This window comes from Homo sapiens, chromosome 19, assembly GCF_000001405.40.
Source record: "Homo sapiens chromosome 19, GRCh38.p14 Primary Assembly".
Classification (NCBI taxonomy): Eukaryota; Metazoa; Chordata; class Mammalia; order Primates; family Hominidae; genus Homo; species Homo sapiens.
In genome coordinates, this window is record NC_000019.10 from 19,171,847 (window position 1) to 19,192,203 (window position 20,357).

A 20,357-nucleotide genomic window follows, 5' to 3' on the forward strand; every position below is an offset into this window, starting at 1 on the left:
CAAACTCAGGGGGAGGCATGTGGCAGATGCTGGAGTGTGGGGGACACTGAGACAGGGAACAGGGGGCCTGGGAGGCTTGTGTCTCTCCCCACACCTCAGTTTACCCGTCTGTGACATGGGCAGTGTGGGCCTCTAGTCTGAGCACAACTTTCTCTTTGGACATGAAAACTATAGAGTTCATACTGTGTCATCAGTGGGTCCCTCCTGTCCCCATCCAGTGCCCAGTGCCATACACTGGGGTGCCCCAAGGACATGCCAGGGCCTGGGCCAGGCTGGGGGCTTCTGCCTCCACTCCATGGTGCAGAACAAGGCTTGGGGAGTGTGGAGGTGGCTGGGGAGCCCTGGGCCCCCGGAGGGCTGCTCTGTTTACCGGAGGCCACCCGCCCACCTCTGATGCAACAGGCAGGCTCTGGTTACGTGAGGCCGGCAGCTGGGCCAGCTCTGGGGGAAGGGCTAGCCCAGCAGAGCGAAGCTGGCTGGGGCTGGCCCTTATGCACCCCAACTCCCCAGCCCCCTCCTTCTGGTGGGCACCATCTTGTTATTCATGGTCTGTCCCGTGTCCTTTTGCCTCTGTTCCTATCCTATACCTTCCCCAACCACTAATTGTGTCCCCTAGCAGGGCCACCAAGAGTCTTAACCTCATTCTTCTCAGATGAAGGGACACCCTTAGTTGCTAGAGTAAGAGGTTGGAAGGTAGAAGGGAAGGTTGTGAGGAGGAAGGGATAGAAGGGTCCAGAGTGGGTGGTGAGGGAGAAGAGTGACCTGGGAAGCAGGTCTGGGAGATGGGGGAGGTGGTGGGTGGGGGATGGAGGAGAAGGCTAGGGTGGGAGGCTGGGGGAGGTGGAGAAGCTGCCCCCGCTGTCTCCCTCCTCCAGATTCTCTCCCCTCTCCCAGGAGAAGGCTTTGAAGGACCTTCCATGATAAGGATGTGTGACCCAGTAGGTAGGGAGGGCCCTGAGGTTAAAGAACCCTGAGTCCCCATCCCAGCTGTGCCGCCCACTCACTGTGTGACCTCAGGATGGTCACTGCACCCCTTGGGGCCTCTTTGCTCATATGAGAAGTGTGGATAGGCTGGGCGCGGTGGCTCACGCCTGTAATCCCAGCACTTTGGGAGGCCGAGGTGGGTGGATCCCGAGGTCAGGAGATCGAGACCATCCTCACTAACACGGTGAAACCCCGTCTCTACTGAAAATACAAAAAATTAGCCAGGCGTGGTGGCAGGCGCCTGTAGTCCCAGCTACTCGGGAGGCTGAGGCAGGAGAATGGCGTGAACCTGGGAGGCGGAGCTTGCAGTGAGCCAAGATCGTGCCACTGCACTCCAACCTGGGCGACAGAGCGAGACTCTGTCTCGAAAAAAAAAAGAAAAAAAAAAAAGCCAGGCATGGTGGCACACACCTGTAATCCCAGCTACTCAGGAGGCTGAGGCAGGAGAATTGCTTGAACCCGGGAGGTGGAGGTTGCAGTGAGCCAAGATCACGCCACTGTACTCCAGCCTGGGTGACAAGAGCAAGACTCTGTCTCAAAAAAGAAAAAAAAAAAAAAAAAAAGAAGAAGTGGGGATAATAGGAGCCCTTAAGGCCCACCTCCAATGTTCCCTCCTCCAAAAGCCTTCCTATCCTCTTACCACTTAGGATCCTTCCACCTCCCCACCCTTCCTTCCAGCTTAGCACTGATCCAGGGGGCGGGGTAGAGTATGTGGCTGGTTCTGTGTCCCCCAGCCTGGGGGTTCCTTGGGCCCGGGCCCAGTGCATGGTGGCACCAAAGGGGTGTCTCCACGGGTTTCTTTCTTTTCATTTTTTAGAGACAGAGTTGCTCTGTTGCCCAGGCTGGAGTGCAGTGGTACAATCATGGCTCACTGCAGCCTTGAACTCCTGGGCTCAAGTGATCCTCTCGCTTCCATCTACCAAGTAGCTGGGACTATAGGAATGCACTACCACACCTGGCTAATTTTTAAATTTTTTTTTGAGGTGCACTGGGTGTCTCGCTTGTTGCCCAGGCTGGTCTCGAACTCCTGGGCTTAAGCGATCCTCCTGCCTTGGCCTCCAAAAGAGCTAGGATTATGGATATGAGCCATTGCGCACAGCCTCCATGGGTTTCTTGAAGAACTGGAGAATCTCAAAGAAGGTCTAAGCAGTGAAAGGGAGTGGGGGATAAGCCTGGGGCACCCAGAAGCCTTGTTCAGGGATACTGTAGGGAAAAGAAAAAAAAAAAAAAAGGCTTTCCAGGGGCCTGAGTGTGCAGGACTCTCCGGGAACCCAGAGGAGTAGGTCTGAAATAAAAACCAGGACTCACACCAATGGCTAAGGACAAAAACCCAGCGGAAGTCTGATTCTTGTCCTGACCACTGTGGACGGAGCAGGGGGCAGGTCGCTGCCCTGTATGGGTCTCCTTTTACCCCATCTGCAGATCAGGGTTGGGATCCTTTCTGGGTGATCTCCAGCCTCGTGAGCACTATGCTTCTGTTTGGATGCCCCATGGCACGGAGAGCTCACTGTCTCTCTTCTAGCTGCCTATCTCTGGAGTTCTGCCGGGAGTTAAATTTTTTTTTTTTTTTTTTTTGAGACGGAGTCTGGCTCTGTCGCCAGGCTGGAGTGCAGTGGCGCAATCTCGGCTCACTGCAATCTCCACCTCCCGGGTTCAAGTCATTCTGCTGCCTCAGCCTCCCGAGTAGCTAGGATTACAGGTGCTCACCACAGCCAGCTAATTTTTGTATTTTTAGTAGAGATGGGGTTTCACCATGTTGGCCACGACGGTCTCAATCTCCTGACCTCGTAATCCACCCGCCTCGGGCTCCCAAAGTGCTGGGATTACAGGCGTGACCCACCATGCCCAGCTGGGTGTTTTTTGAAATGGAGTCTACCTCTGTCGCCCACGCTGGAGTGCAGTGGCGTGATCTCGGCTCACTGCAACCTCCACCTCCCGGGCTCAAGCGATTCTCCTGCCTCAGCCTCCAGAGTAGCTGGGGATTACAGGCATGCACCACACCCAGCTAATTTTTGTATTTTCAGTAGAGACGAGGTTTCATCATGTTGGCCAGGCTGGTCTCCAACTCCTGACGTCAAGTGATCCGCCCACCTCGGCCTCCGAAAGCGCTGGGATTACAGGTGTGAGCCCCCGCGCCTGGCCAGTAAATGCTATTGAGTGAGCTCTAGGAGTGCCCTTGCTCTCCACCCTGACAAGGGAGGCTGCGAGCTCTTGTTCTGAGAGCCCTCTGGCCTCTCAGAACCTCAGTTTGCTCTCTGAAAAATGGGAGCGAGGGCATATAGGGTGAAAAAGGGTGGAGGGTCACAGTGTGCCCACCAGGGCCAGCCAGGACTGCAGACAATGACCGCTAGGAGGCTGAACTTCCCGCCAACGCTTTGCCTCTTGCGCCCCCTGGCGGCTAGAGTGGGCGGGGCGCCCTCCAGGCAAAAAGGGCTATCGAGCATTCAAATGAGATGCAAATTAACCAGCGCCCCCACAAGCCCTTGGACTCGGGGTGACGAGGTGTCTGACAACCCAGAGTCTTGATCAGATCCCTTTTATCTATTTATTTATTTATTATTTTTTGAGACAGAGTCTCGCTCTGTCACCCAGGCTAGAGTGTAGTGGCTCCATCTTGGCTCACTGCAACCTCTGCCTCCCGGGTTCAAGCAATTCTCCTGCCTCAGCTTCCCAAGTAGCTGGGATTAGAGGCGCGCACCACCACACCCGGCTAATTTTTTATATTTTTGGTAGAGACAGGGTTTCACCATATTGGTCAGGCTGGTCTTGAACCCCTAACCTCAGGTGATCTGCCCACCTCAGCCTCCCAAAGTGCTGGGATTACAGGCGTGAGCCACCATGCTCAGCTATTTTGTTTTTTTATAGAGACAGGGTCTCTCCATGTTGCCAGGCTGGTCTCCAACTCCTGGACTCAGGGGTTCCTCTAGTCTTGACTTCCCAAAGTGCTGGGATTACAAGCGTGTGCCACCGCACCCGGCCTAGACTCCTTTTAAGAGATGACTGGGCTGGGCACGGTGGCTCACACCTGTAATCTCAGCACTTTGGGAGAACGAGGTCAGGAGTTCAAGACCAGTCTGGCCAAGATGGTGAAACCCCGTCTCTACTAAAACTACAAAAATTAGTTGGGCGCAGTGGCAGGTGCCTATAATCCCAGCTATTCTGGAGGCTGAGGTAGGAGAATGGCTTGAACCCAGGCGGCAGAGGTTATTGTGAGCCGAGATCGCGCCACTGCACTCCAGCCTGGGCGAGAGTGAGGCTCCAGCTCAAAAAAAAAAGAGAGAGAGATGACTGTTAGTCGCTGGTTGAGGTTGCATCCAGGGGCTATGAGTGACTCAGAGCCCTAGAAGGGTCTGGTGGGGCCCCCCACACCTGCCTCCCTCACCCCTAGCTCCTAGCGCCCCAGACATCCTAGGCAGGTCCTGGGAGGCAGGCAATAATCCCATTCTGCTGCCAGTTTGTCCTGAAGGTCTGAGCAAGAGGGCTGGCTCACAAATACCAGTGTTTGCTGGAGAAATGGTCGCACGAAGGACAGATGGACATTGAGAGGTGCCTTCAGAGCAGGTAAGAAGGGAGAAGGACTCTGGAGGCCACACACCAATCAGTGCCCTAAATGGGGTGGCTTTAGGCTCCTCCCCACTCCTAAGCTGAGTAGGACAGTGGAGAGGTGGGATAATGGCACAGAGGCCCCCCAGTGTGACCTAGAAGGAGGAGAGGTAGGGCTGAACCCCCTTTCCAGGCCTTCAGATGCCTTGACAGGCCCGATGTCCTAACAGGATGCCCTCTGTCTCCCCTCGGGACACCCCTGCTCTTCCCATCCGTCTCCATCAACCACCCCACAGTGCCAAGCTGAGGGACCCTCCCAGAGCAGTGACTGGAACCTGCCTCGACCCCAAACAACTCTTATCTGACCTCCCTAATACATTGTACTGGAACAAGGGATTCTGGGGTAACTGCATTGGCACACAGCTGGCCTTGGAGATGCATAACTTGTGGAGGCCTGGTCACCCAGGCTTGGCATTCACAGTGGTCAGTGCAGGCCCTTCTGCAAACAGCAGCAGAAACGGACTCAAAGCCATTTTGGCAAAAATCATAATTTAGGGGTCCATGAAACTGAAGAAATGAAATTGGCTAGTGTCAGGTACAGTTGGATCCAGGGCTCCACACAATGTTCTCAGGTCCCCCCGGAACCCCTCGCCCCGGCCTGGTTCCCATACACCCAGCTCAACCTTCCTGATGCTCCTGGTAGAACTCCCAGGAAAGGTCGCTCATTGGGTCACGTGTCCATCTCAAACCAATCACTAGGAACCTAGGACAAGGGAGCTCTGATTGGCCAGGCCGAGGTGCCACATCCACCACTGGAACTAGGGGTGGCTTCTCCATGTGGCCTGAGCCTGGGGTGGGCGTTGCTGCTTGAGGCAGAATGCAGGTTGGGAGGGTAGATCTGCGAATGTCCAACTCAGCCTGTAGAGAAGGTGCAGTCCAGCCTTCCTTATCCAGATGAAGAAAGGGAGAACCAAGGCTGGGTGCGGTGGCTCACACCTATAATCCCAGCACTTTGGGAGGCTGAGGCGGGAGGATCACGAGCTCAGGAGTTTGAGACCAGCCTAGCCAACATGGTGAAACCCCGTCTCTACAAAAAATACAAAAAATTAGCTGGGGGTAGTGGTGTGCGCCTGTAGTCCCAGCTACTTGGGAGGCTGAGACAGGAGGATCACTTGAGCCCAGGAGGCAGAGGTTGCAGTGAGCCGAGATCGTGCCACTGCACTCCAGCCTGGATGACAGCCAGATCCTGTCAAAAGAAAGAAAGAAAGAAGGAAGGAAGGAAGGAAGGAAGGAAGGAAGGAAGGAAGGAAGGAAGGAAGGAAGAGAAAAGAAAAGAAAAGAAAAGAAAAGAAAAGAAAAGAAAAGAAAAGAAAAGAAAAGAAAGGAAGAAAGAAAGGGAGACCCAGAGAGGGCCAGCACCAGGCCTATGTCACACAGCACATCAGAGGCAGGCAGGGCTGGGACCAAACCAAGCCGGGCTCTGCTCTTCTCTGACTGTGCCCTTTTTTTTTTTGGTTGGGGGGCGGCGGGTGCGAAGTCTCGCTCTGTCGCGCAGGCTGGAGTGCAGTGGCGCCATCTTGGCTCACTGGAACCTCTGCCTCCTGGGTTCAAGCGATTCTCATGCCTCAACCTCCTGAGTAGCTGGGATTACAGGTGCCCGCCATCACACCCGGCAGAGCCTCTTTTTGTCCATATGTATTTGGGGGTGAGACCTGCCTTTTGGGGCTGAGGATGAAATGAGATGACCCCTGTGAAGACTTTAGCCCAGGGCCAGGGACTTGATAGGTGCATAATCAGGATTATTTTGATGGCAGTTATTGGTCCAAGGGTCGATGGGGGGCCAGTGAGAGTCCAGGAGCAGCAAAGCCACTTCTGGACTTCTGGGAACATGGACGGCTGGGCCTGGAGGCTCCGGGCAGGTGCAGGAGGAATGCTGGCCACACTCGTTCAGTCTTCAGTCTCTGCCTGGCCCAGCTTCAGTCAGGCTGGGGAGCAGGGGCAAGGGCCAGGGTGGTCTGAGAGACAGACCCAAGGCATGAGGCAGCACCTGAGGGATGACCCCGGGCCAGACTAAGGTGGAGCTTGGTGGTCAGAGGTCCGGGTGGGAATCCTGGCATTTCTGGGCGTGGGCGATGACCCTGAGCTGGCTGCCTTACCTCTCGGGGCCTCAGTTTCCTCTTCTGTAAAACAGGGCAGTGCTTAAGGTCCTGGGACAGGAGAGGGGGATGACTTGACCCTGCGAAGGTCACTGATGACCCCAAAGAGGCGCAGTTTTGGGGGAAAAGTGGGAATGAAAGCCTCTGAGGCCGGGCGCAGTGGCTCATGCCTATAATCCCAGGACTTTGGGAGGCCGAGGCGGGCAGATCACCTGAGGTCGGGAGTTCGAGACCTGACTGACCAACATGCTGAAATTCCATCTCTACTAAAAATACAAAAATTAGCCGGGCGAGGTGGCAGGCACCTGTAGTCCCACCTACTCGGGAGGCTGAAGCGGGATAATCGCTTGAACCTGACAGGCAGAGGTTACACTGAACCGAGATCGCACCACCGCACTCTAGCCTGGGTGACAGAGTGAGACTCCATCTCAAAAAAAAAAAAAAGAGAGAAAAAAAAAGCCTCTGAGATGCGGCATGAGGCTGGCGGTTCCAGGGAGAGGCGAGGAACTCTGCAGGGACAAACGTGGATGAGACACAGAGCAATCCTGCCGGGCAGCAGCAGCGGAGGGGACAGCAGACGCTGGGAAGTGAGGAGGGCAGCGGGGCAGTGTCCTCGAGGCACAAAGTAGGAGGGACCAGGGTGTGGGGGATGGGACTGGGGAGACAGAGGCTGGGTTGGGGGTGTGGGCAGGGCTGCGTAGGGCACTGGGCTGGGCTGCTGACCCACTCAGGCAGCCCCTCCTGCTTCAGGCCCCCTGGAAAGCTCCCAGGCCACCCCTCAGCCTGTGGGATTCCTCACCACCCCACATCCAGAGCTAAGCCTGCTATGAACAGGTACTCAGGAAGTATGCATCAACTGCCAGAGGTACTCAGTAAATGCTTGCTGCCTGTGGTGTCCAGTAAGCGCTCACTGATTGACTACAGTGCCCACTAAGTGCTCTCTGACTGCACACATGAATTCGGCTGCCTCTGGGCTCTGGGGCTACAGCTTGAAAGGCCTACAGAGGCTCTGTCTCCACCTGCCTCCCCTCGACCTCTGAGAGGGCTTCCATGGCACATGGCACCGAGGACAATCACAGTGCCTGGCCAATAGGCAGGGGCTCGGTAAGTCCCCAGGGCCCCTTTGACCTGCCTGCGTCTGCCCATCACAGATATAGAATGGTGACACATCAGATCTTTCCTGGCACCACACTCTCTAAGCGTGGTCAGCCACACCTCCCACAGCTCACGCTGCACTTGTGCGGTCCTCTCCCATCTGGTCCTGGGCCTGGCCACGTGACTGGCCTCAACGGATGGGCCACCCACAAATGTGAAACCAGCACTCTGCATGGGAGCCGCTCTCCTGGCTCCCAGCCACCAGGAGAAACCCGGGCTGGCCTGCTGGAGAGGCCATGAGGAAAATCTGACCCCTGCTGCCAACAGTCCTGGCCAAGGGACCCCCTGACTATGCAGGTGCAGCTGAGCTCCCATGAGCACCACATGGGTGAGCCCCAGGGACAGCAGCAGAACCACCCAGCTGAGCCCAGCCCAAAGTGCAGAATCATGAGTAGGTTAATTACTGGGGCTGTAAACCACTGTTTTGGGATGCTGTGTTATGCAGCAATAGCCGACTGCTCCAAAGCACATCCGTCACTGTGCCCTGCACCCTCTTGGTCACCTGAGAGCCACCTTTACAGAAAGTAAATGCAGAGACCAGAGAGGGTAGTGAATTTGCTCGGTCACACAGCAGGTAGGCAGTAGATGGGTGGGGAGGTCCCAGAGATAGGTGGGTAATTGCCCATGCCGGGCTCTGCCTGAGAGACTGTGCACGGGTAAAGCAGGCTGCTGGCACGTGGTAGGATAGAGGAAATGTGGGCTCCCTTCTCTGTCTTGGGGGGTGGAAATCTCTGGGACTAGCATGGGGCCTATGGCCTGGAAAAGAGAGAGGAAGGTGGTGGAGAGAGAGTGGGAGAGATGGGCTGACATGGTCCCTGAGCAGCAGGGTGGAACATTCTGGACCTGCAGACACCCCTCCACCTGCCACCTCCGAAATCATCCCACAAGCCCAGTGAGAAACCCCAAGTGGTTAGACAAGCAGGTGCCTGCCTGGCTGCCAAGCGGGCGGGTTGGTTAGTTCAGAGCAGAGAGAGAGGCTCGTGGCTACCCTCGGCACTGACCTGGGTTGGCGGAGGCTGGGGGGCCCCGAGTCTCTTCCAGGATCAGGCTGAGGAGGGCGGGGGTGGTTCCTCCGGGCTGCAACAAAACATGTGCAGCATCCATGAGGCCAAGGTCAGAGGCCACAAGGCTTGCTCAGCTGGCTGGAGTGTATGTTTGGGTGATACTCTGGTCTCAAAGACCTCTGGCTTGAGCTTCTGGGGCATCCTGCTTAAAAGTGGGATGAGTGGGCCAGGAACGGTGGCTCACGCCTGTAATCCCAGCACTTTGGGAGGCTGAGGTGGGTGGATCACCTGAGGTCAGGAGTTCAAGACCAGCCTGGCCAACATGGCGAAACCCCGTCTCTACTAAAAATACAAAAATTAGCCAGGTGTGGTGGCAGGCGCCTGTAATCCCAGCTACTCGAGAGGCTGAGGCACGAGAATCACTTGGAACCCAGAGAGGGAGGCTGGAGTGAGCTAAGATCGCACCAGTGCACTCTAGCCTGGGCGACAAAGTGAGGCTCTGTCTTGAAAAAAAAAAAAAGGGACAAATGGCTGGGCCCAGTGGGTCACACCTGTAATCCCAGCACTTTGGGAGGCTGAGGCGAGAGAATTGCTTGAGCCCAGGGGTTTGAGACCAGCCCAGGGAATGTATCATGACCCCATCTCTATTTAAAGAAATATATATGTATGTTTTTAAAAGTGGGACAAGGCACTCCAGAGGCCACGTCTGCAACTCACTCACACAAGACTGGGCACTTCAAACCCACAGGGCTTACAAAGAGAGGTGTCAGCAGCAACTCAAGCTGCTACTAATATCTTTCAGGAGTGTGTTGCGTTTTTGAAACAGCAGGCACAAACAGGGCATATGAAAGCATTTTTGGAAACCCTGAGTTGACAGTAAGAGCTATGGCTTTTCAGTGAAGTCTAGATCCAACTGCCAATGCCAACCCATGGCAGAGAAGCCAGATGCCGCTCCTCTTCAGATGCAAGAGAGCCCAGATAAACCCTTCATGCTACCGTTTGAGGGAAGATTGCTACACTCCCATTCTTACACATACACTCAAGTCTTGTTTCTGCAATTTTCGCGTCTTAGTTAAGCAACACAGATGCTTTCTTTCTTTTGCCCAGTGGGGGACAGGCCTGCCAGAACCCCAATCTGTGGGAGCCAGACGCATCCCAAGGCGACATTCCTGCTCCTGGCACATGAGTGTGTGTTCATAAGCGTGTTTATTAACTTAGAATGCCAACAAAAACAAAAAGAAGGGCTACTCTTCAAAAATTCTCTTTCCAATGTTCAAGGACTGTGAGTGCTTTTCGTTTTCAGACCCCTGGTCCTGGGCTTAAAGCCTCCCTTGGCTCTGGGTCCTGGGACAGGGAGAGGCCCCTGCCATCTCCCTGGCCCCATCTCCCCCAGCTGGCCGGCTCCAGCCACAGAAGCCTTCTCGGTGCTTCTCGAACACTCCCAGGGATCCCAGCCCCAGAGCGTCTGCCCTCACCACTGCCCCACATGGAACTCCGTCTGCCCCCGGATCGTCTCTGTCTGCATGTAACTCATGCCACCTCCTAGGAGGGGCCCCGCAGTGTTCTTCACAGCGCATCTGACATGCTCTTGTCTGCCATGTTTACCTGGTTGTCGTATGTCTCCTTGTGAGCCTGTCTGTCTCGGTCACTGCTATGTCCCCAGTGCCCAGCCCAGGGCCAGGCACACAGCAGAGCGCAGGACCTCGGTATTAAGTGACTGAACTCAGGTTATAGATGCCACAGGACAAGAGGAGGTCACCAGACACCAGGACAAAAGGAAAGAGACAGTTTTCTAATAAGCGAGAAGCAGCGGTTCCCAGCGCAGCTGAGAGACGGTCCTTGCAGCTGGGAGTGGCAGTGGGGGCGGGCGGTCCCAGGAGCTACCTGTGGCCCTGGGCACTGGCATTCATATGGTCCCGGATGCTGATGGCCTGTTTGAGCAGACCCTCCACGCTGCGGAAGTAGACGCTGCTGTCCACCAGGTTCTTCACGGCGCTGAAACGGGAGGACAGGCCTGGTCAGCGCTCCGGACCTGCAGGTAACTGTCCCACACCCCAGCACTTGAGGTCACCACCAGGGCTCGGTGGGTACCTCAGTGATTCTGCGGGCTTCCCGAAGGACTCACAGTGGGCTTACATTTTAGATTTCCCTGCTATGACTAGATGACATCTGTGCAACACAGCACATTCTCTGCCACTGAAACATCTAATGTTTTGAAGGAGGGATCAGTGTATAAAGATGTCATAAAAAATATCTCGGCCATTACTGCTGATAATGGGGGTGTAAAAAATAGGAAAGAAAAAACACCTGGGCACTGTGGTTCACACCTATAATCCCAGCTACTCAAGAGGCCAAGGCAAGAGGATGGCTTGAGCCCAGGAGGTTGAGACCAGCCTGGGCAACACAGCGAGACCCCATCTCTTAAAAAGAAAAATCTGGGATGGGCGCAGTGGATCATGCCTGTAATCCCAGCACTCTGGGAGGCTGAGGCGGGTGGATCATGAGGTCGGGAGGTCAAGACCATGCTGGCTAACAAGGTGAAACCTCTGTCTCTACTAAAAATACAAAAAAATTAGCCGGGCGTGGTGGCGGCCGCCTGTAGTCCCAGCTACTCGGGAGGCTGAGGCAGGAGAATGGCATGAACCTGGGAGGCAGAGCTTGCAGTGGGCTGAGATCGCGCCACTGCACTCCAGCCTGGGCGACAGAGCGAGACTCCGTCTCAAAAAAAAAAAAAAAATATACATTTCACTACAGACAAATGTTCGCTGGCCTCCCGCCTAGCCCAGTGGTATCTGGGGCAACTTCTGTGGTGATGAAAATGTTCTTTATCCATTGAGATGGCTGAGAGGCACCTGGAATGTGGCTAGCGGGACTTGGGAGCTGAATATTTTTTTTCTTTCTTTTTTTTTTTTTGAGACGGAATTTCGCTCTTGTTGCCCAGGCTGGAGTGCAATGGTGTGATCTCGGCTCACTGCAACCTCCGCCTCCCAGGTTCAAGCAATTCTCCTGCCTCAGCCTCCCAAGTAGCTGGGATTACAGGTGCCCACCACCACACCTGGCTAATTTTTGTACTTTTAGTACATGTTGGTCAGGCTGGTCTCAAACTCCTGACCTCAGGGGATCCTCCTGCCTCGGCCTCCAAAAGTGCTGGGATTACAGGCGTGAGCCACTGCGCTCAGCCTCATTTTGTAATTTTTTTTTAATTTTTAATTTTTTTTTTTGAGACAAAGTCTCACTTTGTTGCCCAGACTGAGCACAATCTCAGCTCACAGCAACCTCCGTCTCCCAGGTTCAAGCGATTCTCCTGCCTCCGCCTCCCAAGTAGCTGGGATTACAGGTGCCCACCACCACACCTGGCTAATTTTTGTATTTTTAGTAGAGATAGGGTTGCACCATGTTGGCCAGGCTGGTCTTAACTCCTGCCGCAAGTGATCTGCCCACCTCGGCCTCCCAAAGTGCTGGGATTACTGGCGTGAGTCACTGCACCCAGTTTCATTTTAACGAGTTAAAATTGAAGTGTGCTTAGCCACCCATGGCGTAGGTTCCTGGATTAGATGGCACAGCTAGAGGAAGCAGAAGAAAGCATAGGTTTTTTGTTGGTTTTTTTTTTTCCTTTCTTTTTTTTTTTTTTTTTTGAGACGGAGTCTCGCTCTGTCGCCCAGGCTGGAGTGCAATGGCGTGATCTCGGCTCACTGCAAGCTCCACCTCCCGGGTTCATGCCATTCTCCTGCCTCAGCCTCCCACGTAGCTGGGACTACAGGTGCCACCACACCTGGCTAATTTTTTTGTATTTTTAGTAAAGACGCGGTTTCACCGTGTTAGCCAGGATGGTCTCGATCTCCTGAGCTCATGATCCGCCTGCCTTGGCCTCCCAAAGTGCTGGGATTACAGGTGTGAGCCACCGCGCCCGGTCTGTTTTTTGTTTTTTTGAGACAGGATCTTGTTCTGTTGCCCAGGCTGGAGTGCAGTGGTGCAATCTCCACTCACTGCAGCCTCAACCTCCCAGGCTTAAGCAATCCTCCCACCTCAGCATCCCGAGTAGCTGGGACTAGAGGTGTGTGCCACCAGGCTCGGCTAGTTTTTGTATTTTTTGTAGGAATAGGGTTTCACCAGGTTGCCCAGACTGGTCTCAAACTCCTGGGCTGAAGTGATCCTCCCACCTCAGACTCCCAAAGCACTGGGAGTACAGGCGTAAGCCCCTGCACCCGGCCGTATTTCTTTCTTCTTTAGAGGAGAGGTCTGGCTATATCACGCAGGCTGACCCTGAACTCCTTTCAAGGCATCCTCCCACCTCAGCCTCCTGAGTAGCTGGAACTATAGGCGTGCATAACCATTCCCAGCTCTAGCAACTCCTATTTCTTTTCTTTTCCTTGAGCTAAGGAAGATACTGTCTGTCTGGTCAACCCTTGTCCCACCAAGGGGGCCAAGGCTGCCAATGGCAGAATACTGCCCCAGCAGCAGGATTTCTTGTCTAGGCACCTTCGCCCACACAACCAAACAGCAACACACCAAGGGAACTGCTGGGAGCATCATTCAGCCGCCAATAAAATGGCCCACAGCCCATGTCAGGTGCAAACAGCATGTCTGTGCAAAGTCGAGGAACTTCCAAGGCCAACTGGGCAACCCGAGGCAACCGGAATAAGGCTTGGGAATACAGTCACGAGGAATGGAACCAAAGCACAGGAGGCAAGGGGTCAGTAACAAAAAGAAACACCGGCCAGGCGTGGTGGCTCGCATCTGTAATCTGAGCACTTTGGGAGGCTGAGGTGGGTAGATCACCTGAGGTCAGAAGTTTGAGACCAGCCTGGCCAACATGGCGAAACCCCATCTCTGCTAAAAATACAAAAATTAGCCGGGCAAGGTGGCGGGCGCCTGTAGTCCCAGCTACTCGGGAGGCTGAAGCGGGAGAACTGCTTGGACTTGAGAGGCGGACGTTGCAGTGAACTGAGATCATGCCACTGCACTCCAGCCTGGGTGACAGAGTAAGATTCTGTCTCAAAAAAAATTTAAAAATAAACAGCCATATCTGTGCTTTGGGCTTCCCCCTGGCTGCCATCCACCCCACTGGCCCATCTGTCCTGGCTGTGGGAGAGAAATGCTGGTCCCCAGAGGCATCTTCCAGAATCCCTATCCCTCTTTCCTGTGGCAGCTGGGGAGGGGCTCAGCACAGGGAAGAGACCCACCTGGGGCCCTGGCCAAGTGAATCGTGGTACAGACCCCATACACCCACTCGGGTAGGCCTGGCAGGGTGGGGCTTACTGGGCAGTTGGCTGGGATGCCCCTGAATGCCCAGGAGGCCAGAGCAGCAAAAGGTGGCCCTGCAGCGGGGAGGCTGTGGCGCTCACCTGCAGGCGTACTCCACAGTGTAGATGGCTCCCTGGCTCTGCTCCTCCCAACGCTGCATGTCTGCCTGTAGGGGGCGCAGGAGATATTTGGCAAGGGAGGCCACCCCCACCTAGAGGGCCTTCCTCCCAGCTCTCTTGGTTGGGGCTCTCCTGAGTCCTCATGGTGGAAGCAGAGACCTTTCCTCCTGCAACTCCCTTCCCTCACAGGTCTGGGCTTTCTGTGAACACCTGGCCACCATGCCTCAGGGCCTTTGCACAGGCTGTTCCCCCTGCCTGGCACATCCTTCCCTTAGATAGTCAGACGGCTGCCTCCTTGCCATGCAGGTCATAACTGTAACAGAATAGTATAGTTTGACTGTGTCCCCACCCAAATCTCACCTTGAATTGTAGTTCCCATAATCCCCATGTGTTGTGAGAGGGACCAGGTGGAGACAACTGAATCATAGAGGTGGTTCCCCTCATCCTGTTCTCCTGATAAGTGAGTTCTCACGAGATCTTGTGGTTTTAATAAGGGGCCTCCCCCTTCACTGGGCACTCATACTTCTCCTTCTTGCTGCCATGTGAGGAAGTACATGTTTGCTTCCCCTTCTGCCATGATTCTAAGTTTCCTGAGGCCTCCCCAGCCCTGTTGAACTGTGAGTCAATTAAACCTCTTTATAAATTACCCAGTCTTGGCTATGTCCTGATAGCAGCATGAGAATGAACTAATACACACATCTTGCCATCTCCTTCAAAATCTATCCCAGATCTGTCCACCACGCCTCTGACCTGGCTTTGCCACCACATGCCTCCTTGCTGGTGTCCCAGCCTTGACTCCTGCCCTGACAGCCCCTGCTCCTCCCAGCAGGCCCCAGCTCACCTTGTGCTGGGCCAGCTCGGGGAGGGAGCGACGCACATGCTCCTGCAGCCGGTACAGGGCCACGGATGGCTCGTTGGCCAGGACGTAGACGCTCTCAGTGAACTTGTCCGTGACTAGATACAGGTGGTAGGGATGGGGCGGGTGTGGGGAGACAAAGCGTCAGCCTCCTCATTGCTCAAGTGTTGAGCCCAGCCAGAGCAAAGGGGGCATCTGGCGTGTCCCTCCGCAGCTAGGTCACTCCTGGCCCATGACAGGCTGGAGGAAGTGGTCACAGCAGGGCTCACTCAAGAGGACATTAATGAGACCGGGTGCGGTGGCTCACGCCTGTAATCCTAGCACTTTGGAGGCTGAGGTGGGCAGATCACCTGAGGTCAGGAATTCAAGACCAGCCAGGCCATCATGGTAAAACCCATCTCTACTAAAAATACAAAAATTAGCCAGGCATGATGGCGGGCGCCTGTAGTCCCAGCTATTCTGGAGGCTGAGGCAGGAGAAATCACTTGAATCTGGGAGGTGGAGGTTGCAGTGAGCTGACGTCATGCCATTGCACTCCAGCCTGGGCAACAAGAGCAAAACTCCATCTCAAAAAAAAAAAAAGAGGACATTAATGAGAGGACATAATGAGTGATGAGTTCATAACGAGTAAACTTCTTTTTTTTTTTTTTGAGACAGAGTCTTGCTCTGTCATCAGGCTGGAGTGCAGTGGTGCAATCTCGGCTCACCACAACCTCCGACTCCCTGGTTCAAGTGATTCTCCTGCCTCAGCCTCCTGAGTAGCTGGGATTACAGGCATGCACCACCACGCCCAGCTAATTTTTGTATTTTTAGTGGAGACAGGGTTTCACCATGTTGGTCAGGATGGTCTCGATCTCCTGACCTCGTGATCCGCTCACCATGGCCTCCCAAAGTGCTGGGATTACAGGCTTGAGCCACCGCGCCTGGCCAGCTTGATTGAACTTTTTTTTTAGAGACAGGGTCTCGCTCTGTTGCCCAGGCTGGAGTGCAGTGGTGTGATCACAGCTCACTGCACCCTCGAAACTCCCAGCCTCAAGGCATCATCACGCCTCAGCCTCCCGAGGAGCTAGAACTACAGGTGCAAACCACCATGCCTGGCTAGTTTTTTCATTTATTTATTTATTTATTTATTATTATTTTGAGATGGAGTCTCACTCTGTCGCCCAGGCTGGAGTGTAGTGGGGCAATCTTGGCTCACTGCAAGCTCCACCTCCTGGGTTCACGTCATTCTCCCGGCTCAGCCTCCCGCGTAGCTGGGACTACAGGCACCCGCCACCACGCCCGGCTAACTTTTTGTATTTTTTAGTAGAGACGGGGTTTCACTGTGTTACCAGGATGGTCTCGATCTCCTGACCTCGTGATCCGCCTGCCTCGGGCTCCAAAGTGCTGGGATTACAGGCATGAGCCACCGCGCCCGGCTCATTTTTTAAAATAGAGACAAGGTCTTGCTATGTGGCCCAGGCTGGTCCTGAACTCTTGGTCTCAAGTGATCCTCCTGCCTCAGCCTCCCAAAGTGCTGGGATTATAGGCATGAGCCACTGTGCCTGGCCCCCAGTGAACTCTTCTCATCTTTCCCTCCCAAACCCACCGGTAGTGGACACTGCTGCCTACTGCACTTCCCGGCATTCTTTTTGCCCCCGTGACCACACTCGGGACTCTTCAGAGCATGCCCACAGGACCTGAAAGTGCCTGGAAGTTCACATCCCAGGAGGGCCTCAGCTGCCACTCACCAGTGAGAGATATGGAAACCTGTGTCCCTCGCTGGGCACTGAACAACCCAGAGCCTAACATCCCCCTGGGCTCCTGTGCAGGCCCAGGATGAGGCCTCCCTCTGCAGATTTTACCTGAGGTGCCCCTCGCTCAGCCTCCTCACCAGCCAGCCCTGCCCTGTTTCCCCTTCTCCCCTGCAGGTGTCTCCTGATGAAATTTTTTTTTTCTTGTTTTTGAGACAGAGTCTTGCTCTGTTGTCCAGGCTGGAGTGCAGTAGTGTAATCTCGGCTCACTGCAACCTCCACCTCCCGGGTTCAGGTGATTCTCCTGCCTCAGCCTCCCGAGTAGCTGGGATTACAGGCACCCGCCACCACGCCTGGCTAATTTTTGTATTTTTATTTGAGATGGGGTTTTACCATGTTGGCCAGGCTGGTCTCGAACTCCTGACCTCAAGTGATCTGCCCACTTCGGCCTCCCAGAGTGCTGGGATTACAGGAGTGAGCCACCGCCCGGCCCTGATAAATTAATTGCACGCAAATCCTCATTACAGGGTCTGTTTCAACAACGGCATTCCCAGCCAGCCAGCAGGGCCCGCCTTTCCTGTCCCATTCTTGGGCAGATCCTGATGGTTCCAGTCTCACCTGTTCTATTATACCACACTGCCCGCACCGGTCCAGGCACAGCGAGGCACGGCCATCTCCTGCCTGGATGCCAGATCCACCTTCTCCCTGGCCTCTCTGCTTCCCCTGCTGCCAACAGTTCAACCTCCATGCAGCACGTGAGGCAAACTCCAAATGAACAAATCATCTATTCCCACCCTTGCTTTAAACTCTTCCATAGCTCCCACCTGCCAGAGAATAAAATCCGCCTTTCTTGCCCTGCATGTTCTGGCTGCTCTTGACCTCCCTGCCTTCCTTGCCCTCCACCCCTGGCTCTTCCTTGGACCTCCCAGCACTGCCCAGAACTTTCTCACTGCCCGAGAGGACAAGGTAGGAGGATCACTTGAGGATAAGAATTTGAGACCAACGCCGGGTGCGGTGGCTCACGCCTGTAATCCCAGCACTTTGGCAGGAGGATGGATTCAGCCTAGGAGTTCAAGACCAGCCTGGGAGACATGGCGAAACCCCACCTCTATAAAAAATTGCAAAAATAAGCTGGTCATGGTGATCTATACCTGTAGTCCCAGCTACTCAGGAGGCTGAGGTGGGAGGACTGCTTGGGTCTGACAAGTGGAGGCTGCAGTGAGCCATGATCATACCACTGCACTCCAGTCTGGGCAAAAGAGTGAGACTCTGTCCCAAAAAAAAAAAAATTAAATGCCCGTATGTGACCAGTTGCTCCTTTATTCATTACAGCAGAGCTCTAAACACTTGGTCACCTCAAGGCCTTTGCACTTGGTATTCCCACCTGGAGACACCATTCCGTCACTGGCTCTCCTTCATCCCTCAGGTCTGCTCAAATGTCACCTCCTGGGCAAGACCCTCCCTGACTACCAAGCTTAAAAGATGACCCCTCCACCTCACGGAGGACCTTGGCAGGCATTTTGTTCCTTTCTCTTAATACCAATTTCAACTGATTAGGTTACATGTTCACAGGAAAAGTTAAAAGCTTGGACTTGGGAGAGCAGAGCTTCTCTGAGCCTCAGCTTCCTCATCCACAAAAAAAGAATAACAGCACCAGCCTCAAAGTTTGCTACAGAGATGAATCCAATGCCATCACCAGGGTGACTGCTCAGGAGAGAGAACCCAGGCGTGTCTGGGAGTCAAAGGAGGCTAACACAAGTCTCTCCATCTCACCACTGTGCCTTGAGTGGCAGAGCCCAGCCTGCCACCTCCAAACTGTGTGACCTCTTACCAGATAGGCCTCCTCGCTTTGAATGTGAGCATAACGGCCAGGGGCGGTGGCCCACGCCTGTAATTCCAGAACTTTGGGAGGCCGAAGCGGGAGGATCACCTGAGGTTGGGAGTTCGACACCAGCCTGACCAACGTGGAGAAACCCCGTTTCTACTGAAAATACAAAATTAGCCAGGCATGGTGGTGCATGCCTGTAATCCCAGCTATTCGGGAGGCTGAGGCAGGAGAAACACTTGAACCCGGGAGGCGGAGGTTGCCGTGAGCCATGATCACGCCATTGCACTCCAGCCTTGGCAACAAGAGCAAAACTCCGTCTCAAATAAAAAAAAAGAAGAAGAAAGGTGAGCATAACAGACAAGGCACGGTGGCTCATGCCTCATACTCATGCCCTCCGTTATCCATGGTTCCCGAATCTGTGGATTCAACCAACCGTGGATGGAAAATAGGAAAAAAAAAATTCCACAAAGTTTCAAAAAGCAAAACTTCAATCTGCCCTACACGAAGCACTTCTTTGAATCCATGTGAATGAAGTGATGTGTAGGCCTGTATTATGTATTCTAGATGTGAGTAATCTAGGGTGATTTAAAGTATAGGGGATTAGCTGGGTGCAGTGGTTCACACCTGTAATCCCAGCACTTTGGGAGGCCAAGGTGGGTGGATCACTCGAGGTCAGGAGTTCGAGACTAGCCTGAGCAACAAGGTGAAACCCCGTCTCTACTAAAAATACAAAAAAATTAGCTGGGCATGGGGGTGTGTGCCTGTAATCCTAGCTACTCAGGGGGCTGAGGTTGCAGTGAGCTGAGATCCCCCCACGGCACTCCAGCCTGGGTGACAGAGCGAGACTCCGTCAAAAAAAAAAAAAATTAAAGAATTAGCCTGATGTGGTGGTGTGCACTTGTAGTCCCAGCTACTGGAGAAGCTGAGGCAAGAGGATCGCCCGCGCCAGAGAGATCGAGGCTACAGTGAGCCATGATCGCGCCACCGCACCCCAGCCTGGGCGACAGTGTGATACCTTGTCTCAAAAAAAAAAAAAAAAAAGGAAACAAGACGCACAGCGATTACTACGCCCCGGGGATTCTTCCAATGCATTACAAATATCAGGTTGTTGAGTTTTTTTTTTTTAGACAGGGTCTCACTTGTCACCCAGGCTGGGGGTGCAGTGGCACGACCGTAGCCCACTGCAGTGCAGCCTTGACCTCCCGGGCTCAAGCAATCCTCCCACCTTAGCCGCCCAAGTAGCTGGGACCACAGGCGTGCGCCACCACGCCCGGCTAATTTTTGTATTTTTTTAGAGACGAGATCTCACTATGTCACCTAGGCTGGTCTCGGGCTCAAGCGATCCTCCCGCCTAGGCCTCCCAAAGTGCTGGGATTACAAAGCCACCACTCCCAGCCTCAGCTACTGAATTCTTGAAACAATCCTGGGGGGACCGGTAATTAAAGCAGACACGGAGCCTTTCTACAGGTTTCAAAACTAGTCAGCGGCAGAGCTGGGATTGGACGGCAGTTCAATCACTGCTCCTCGCACGGTCCCTCCGCGCCCGGCCTTTGTCAGGCCGCCCCTCCACAAGTTACCGGCCCCCTCTGTCCCGCCCGCAGGCCCGCACCACCTTTCTTCCCCTTGAGCTGCATCTCCGGCTCCTCCATAGCGACCGCGGCCGAGCGAACCGGGAAACGGCACCGGAAGCCCGGAGGTTGGGACGCCCGCCTAAGCCTTCCCTGCTGAAACCGGA

General features: G+C 54.4%; 2 protein-coding genes across 5 annotated transcripts in view, besides 5 other annotated features; both read right to left on the reverse strand.

Annotated features, from left to right (window-relative positions):
* Nucleotides 1–20,306, reverse strand: part of BORCS8-MEF2B (BORCS8-MEF2B readthrough) — a 46,586-nt gene extending 26,280 nt beyond the window's left edge. For 2 of the 3 annotated variants that reach the window (NR_027308.2, NR_027307.2), the window contains exons 1-5: nucleotides 20,235–20,306; nucleotides 15,047–15,159; nucleotides 14,188–14,252; nucleotides 10,727–10,837; nucleotides 8,840–8,915 (exon numbers count right to left, since the gene is read on the reverse strand). The gene's annotated coding sequence lies outside the window, so the exon portion shown is untranslated. The remainder of the gene's footprint in view (nucleotides 1–8,839; nucleotides 8,916–10,726; nucleotides 10,838–14,187; nucleotides 14,253–15,046; nucleotides 15,160–20,234) is intronic. The other variant, NM_005919.4, reaches the window with a different exon arrangement.
* Nucleotides 123–342: an enhancer, noted in NCBI's record as "active region_14341". NCBI's record gives its function as "activates an Ori minimal core promoter by ATAC-STARR-seq in GM12878 lymphoblastoid cells {active_cell/tissue: GM12878}" and the evidence as "EXISTENCE:reporter gene assay evidence [ECO:0000049][PMID:35858748]".
* Nucleotides 123–890: a biological region, named in NCBI's record as "H3K27ac-H3K4me1 hESC enhancer GRCh37_chr19:19282939-19283545".
* Nucleotides 284–890: an enhancer, noted in NCBI's record as "H3K27ac-H3K4me1 hESC enhancer chr19:19282939-19283545 (GRCh37/hg19 assembly coordinates)". NCBI's record gives its function as "activates a minimal SCP1, AML or CMV promoter by ChIP-STARR-seq in primed H9 embryonic stem cells {active_cell/tissue: H9 hESC(primed)}" and the evidence as "EXISTENCE:reporter gene assay evidence [ECO:0000049][PMID:30033119]".
* Nucleotides 2,534–3,035: an enhancer, noted in NCBI's record as "H3K4me1 hESC enhancer chr19:19285189-19285690 (GRCh37/hg19 assembly coordinates)". NCBI's record gives its function as "activates a minimal SCP1, AML or CMV promoter by ChIP-STARR-seq in naive H9 embryonic stem cells {active_cell/tissue: H9 hESC(naive)}" and the evidence as "EXISTENCE:reporter gene assay evidence [ECO:0000049][PMID:30033119]".
* BORCS8 (BLOC-1 related complex subunit 8) lies at nucleotides 5,060–20,306 on the reverse strand. 2 transcript variants are annotated; one of them, NM_001145784.2, is made up of 6 exons: nucleotides 20,235–20,306; nucleotides 15,047–15,159; nucleotides 14,188–14,252; nucleotides 10,727–10,837; nucleotides 8,840–8,915; nucleotides 5,060–5,614 (listed from the first exon to the last, which is right to left on the reverse strand). In NM_001145784.2, exons 1-5 carry the CDS (start codon nucleotides 20,269–20,271, stop codon nucleotides 8,882–8,884), a joined length of 360 nt encoding a protein of 119 aa, NP_001139256.1. In that variant the 5' UTR covers nucleotides 20,272–20,306; the 3' UTR covers nucleotides 5,060–5,614; nucleotides 8,840–8,881. The 2 variants fall into 2 exon arrangements, with proteins under 2 accessions (NP_001139256.1, NP_001139255.1); NM_001145783.2 differs by lacking the exons at nucleotides 5,060–5,614; nucleotides 8,840–8,915 and having other exon boundaries at nucleotides 10,030–10,837.
* Nucleotides 13,626–14,127: an enhancer, noted in NCBI's record as "H3K4me1 hESC enhancer chr19:19296281-19296782 (GRCh37/hg19 assembly coordinates)". NCBI's record gives its function as "activates a minimal SCP1, AML or CMV promoter by ChIP-STARR-seq in primed H9 embryonic stem cells {active_cell/tissue: H9 hESC(primed)}" and the evidence as "EXISTENCE:reporter gene assay evidence [ECO:0000049][PMID:30033119]".